Genomic DNA, 3,852 nt, shown 5'->3' on the forward strand with positions numbered 1-3,852 from the left:
ATTTATAGTTTCTCAGAGGATATTTTGATCATTTAACGCTATAACTGTTTCTTCTATTCCCAACGGCAAACATATCTGATTTATCTATGCTACTGATTCTTAAAATTGACTGCACATTGGCATCACCTGGACACATTTTAGAAATACTCATAACTGGTGTAGGCTGCAATGCAGGCATGGGTTTTTCAAAGCTTCTGATGTTTTGAATGTGCAGCCAAGCTTAAGAACCATTGATCTATGTCCCTTCTTACCTAGATGGATTACCTCTAGAAAAGAGAGTCAGAGTGAGATTGCGGGTAGTTTATGCTAATTTCCAAAGTCCTCTATGACCTATGACTGTTGTCTCAGTTCATTCCTACTGCTAGAAGAAAATACCACAGACTGGGTTCTTTATAAACAACAGAAATTTGTTTCTCACAGTTCTCGAGTCTGGGAAGTCCAATATCAAGACACTAGCAAATTGGGTATCTGGTGAAGGCTAGCTCTCTGCTTCCAAGATGGTGCTTTGTTGCTGTGTCCTCACATGGTGGAAGGCAGAGGGGCAAAAGGAGGGCCTAGATAGTCTCCTTCAGCCCTTTTATAAGGGCATTAATCCCATGTATGAAGGTCGACCTCCTCAGGATCTAACCACCACCAAAGACCCCACCTTCTTTGGGGTTTAAGTTCCAACATATACATTTTGGAGAGACACAGATATTCAAACCATAGTAACTGTTGTCCTTAGTGTTTAGTGTGCTTAGGAATTACAGGGAGGACTTGTTAAAACAAAGATTGCAAGCCACAGCCACAGTTTCTGAATTAGCAGGTCTAGGATAAAGCCCAAAGATTGCCATTTCTAACAAGCTCCCATGGAATATTCTTATCACTGGTCCAGATGAACAGAAGTGGGGACAGATGGGCCCACAGTAACCACCATACTGTCCATATCTTTAGTATGGCCTGTATTAGTCAGGGCTCTCCAGACAAACAGAGTCAACAGAATATATGTAGATTACATAGATAGATAAACAGATCTATTTATAGATAAATCAATATAGACCTATATCTCTCTATAGATATAGGAATATAGATCTATATCTCTATATATTCTTTATATCTATATAATATATAGATAGATCTATATAATAGGTGTATATATTATACATATGTATAAAATATATATATACACAGAGAGAGAGAAAGGAGACAGATTTATTTTAAGGAATTGGTTCACATGATTTTACTGGCCTGGTAAGTCCAAAATTTGCAGGGTAGGCCACAGTCTGGAGACCCTTGGAAGAACTGCAGTTCAAGATCAAAGGCAGTCTCCTGGCAGAATACCTTCTTGAGAGGCCAGTCTTTGTTCTATGAAGGTCTTCAACTGATTGAATGAGACCCACATGCGCTATGGAGGGCAATCTGCTTTACTCAGAGTCTACCAATTTAAATGTTAATCTCTTCCAAAAAACACATTCACAGCAACATCCAGAATACTGTTTAACCAAATATCTAGGCATCAGGACCTGACCAAGTTAACACATAAAATTAGCCATCACATAGCCTCATTTGTACACAGTGTTGAATCCAATATAAAAAAGAAATAACATTTCTTCTCCAAATCTCTTTGTTATTATAAATTACTATTGAAAAAGTTAAGATTAATTGGTGTTGGTAGAAACAATAGGAAAAGCTGAATGCTCCAAAGTGATTGAGTTTGGCCATAGTCAGTGACAAAGTTTTTAGTGTATTTAGTGACCCAACAGGAACAGTTTTCTAAGTAAAATTTTGAGATACTGATGAAAAGAGATGAAGGATTGACTCTAGGTACAGTTAATGAAGCTGACACTTCCTTTTCCCAGCAACTCATCTCCATAGGTGATAGGCCACCAGTACTGTCCTAAGCCTTCTAGGTTTTCCCATTGTCCTCATCAAAACATATCTGTCTTGTAATCTGATTACAAAGGTTCTTCATCTAAGCTGTACATTTAATAACTAATCAAACTAAAGTGTTAATATGTCAAGAGGTGCAGAGATAATTCGCTGACATTGACTGATGGTAAAGGAACTTTATAAACCAACATCTTCCCAACATGATTTTTCCAAAGAGCTGCAAATGGACAATACAACCAAGCACATTAAGAACTTATTTCCTCACACTGGGGTTGCTTGCAGTGCTTAGAATTGGTAGGAGAGCTTTTTCAAAACATATGCTGTGTCACTATGCACACAGGGTGTATTAATATTCCCAGTGATGGGATTTTCCACATAATTTAAATAAAACCCCTTCCCCTACCACTGGTGATTCTCAGTCCTGATTGCATATTAAAATTGCCTTGTGAGATTTTATTATGTACAGATGCCAGGGCTCCTCCTAATCCAATTAAGTAAGAACCTCTATGACAGCTGGTGAGTCCCTGTGTTTTAAATGTTCCCCAGGTCATCCTAACGTGCACCCAAGGTCAAGAACAACTTCTTCATATGGGAAAAAAGCATAAATCATAAGGTTACTGAGTTTGGGAGGAAAATGAAATATACAATTTACCAGAAAATAAATAGAATATTTACCATATCAGTTTTACAATATGTAGTTAGAAACTTTACACTTTTACCCAACTGAAGTTAGAAACAGACTAATATAAGAGGAGGCTTTGAGAAAACACAAATCAGTAGATCCCACCAAGCGCTTTTTAATTTTTCTCAGCTTTACAATTGACATTCACTGAAATAAGGCTGATTTTTTCAGTGATACTACAAGTATGCAGTATAGCAGGTTCTTAGGCATAATAATAATGTTTTTAAACACAATAATGATTAAAAATAGAGTTCTTTCTTTTATTAGGCTTTTTGTTTGCTATTGTGAAAAGGTTGAAAGAAAAATGCCCTGCAGCCATTCTGAAGTTTTCTTGTAACATTTGATCAACTAGAACAGGGACTATGTCCTAAAGTAATTGTGGAATCTGCACAGTACTAGCCTTGAACGGAGCTCAGTGTTTATTGATTGGCTGATGGAGGATGAATTCCTTTAACCTAATTGTTTATTTCCATTTCTAAGATATTTAAATTATATATATTTTAAATAAATATATTTAAATAAGATACATATATATTTAAATACTTTGATTTTAGAAAAGCAATATAAATCTTCAGAAAATATTTACTTATAATGCCAAGTGTTTGTCAGTCTCAGAGAGGTAAATCTGAAAGAGAACCAAGAACTAACACATACAGAGTAAAAAATATTATGAAATTGTTATTCCCAAAATATTTCAGATTTTAGATTTAAGAAAATTTTACATATCTAGAAAAAAAAATTATAGCTGTTACAAATCCTTATTCAAAAGAGGCACTCTACTAAACAAAATAATGCAAGGTTGAAATTGTGAGTAGAGTAGGCATTTATCTACAGGGTCAGATTATGGAGGTAACTGCCATAATACCATATCCCCCAATCCCATCAATTATGACCGAAATGCCACCAGTGCTGCTAAGCACGACTTTAAGCATTGATCACTTGCAGAAAATACTCCTGAGAAAACTAGCAGTTCCCGTGAATTAAAGGAATTTTAACAGGCTATGGCCTGAAAGCAGTTAATATGAAGAACAAGACAGGGGACTTCAGGATGCATCAAAGTTGATCTTTGCCCACTTTTCCAAAATTGAAATTGAAATTATGAGACATGCCCTCTCAGAATCAGTCTGTCCATCTGAAAAGATGCAAATAATATTATAGCAATCTGGAAAGTGAACTACTTACAAGTAGATGTAGTTAAACATATTTTTATAGCTGAAAAGTTCATAATCAAATATATTTTTTACACAACTTTAAATGTAGAAATAGAAAGTGTACTCCATAGAATTTGAAGGAAGACATTG

This window comes from Homo sapiens, chromosome 3, assembly GCF_000001405.40.
Source record: "Homo sapiens chromosome 3, GRCh38.p14 Primary Assembly".
NCBI lineage: Eukaryota > Metazoa > Chordata > Mammalia > Primates > Hominidae > Homo > Homo sapiens.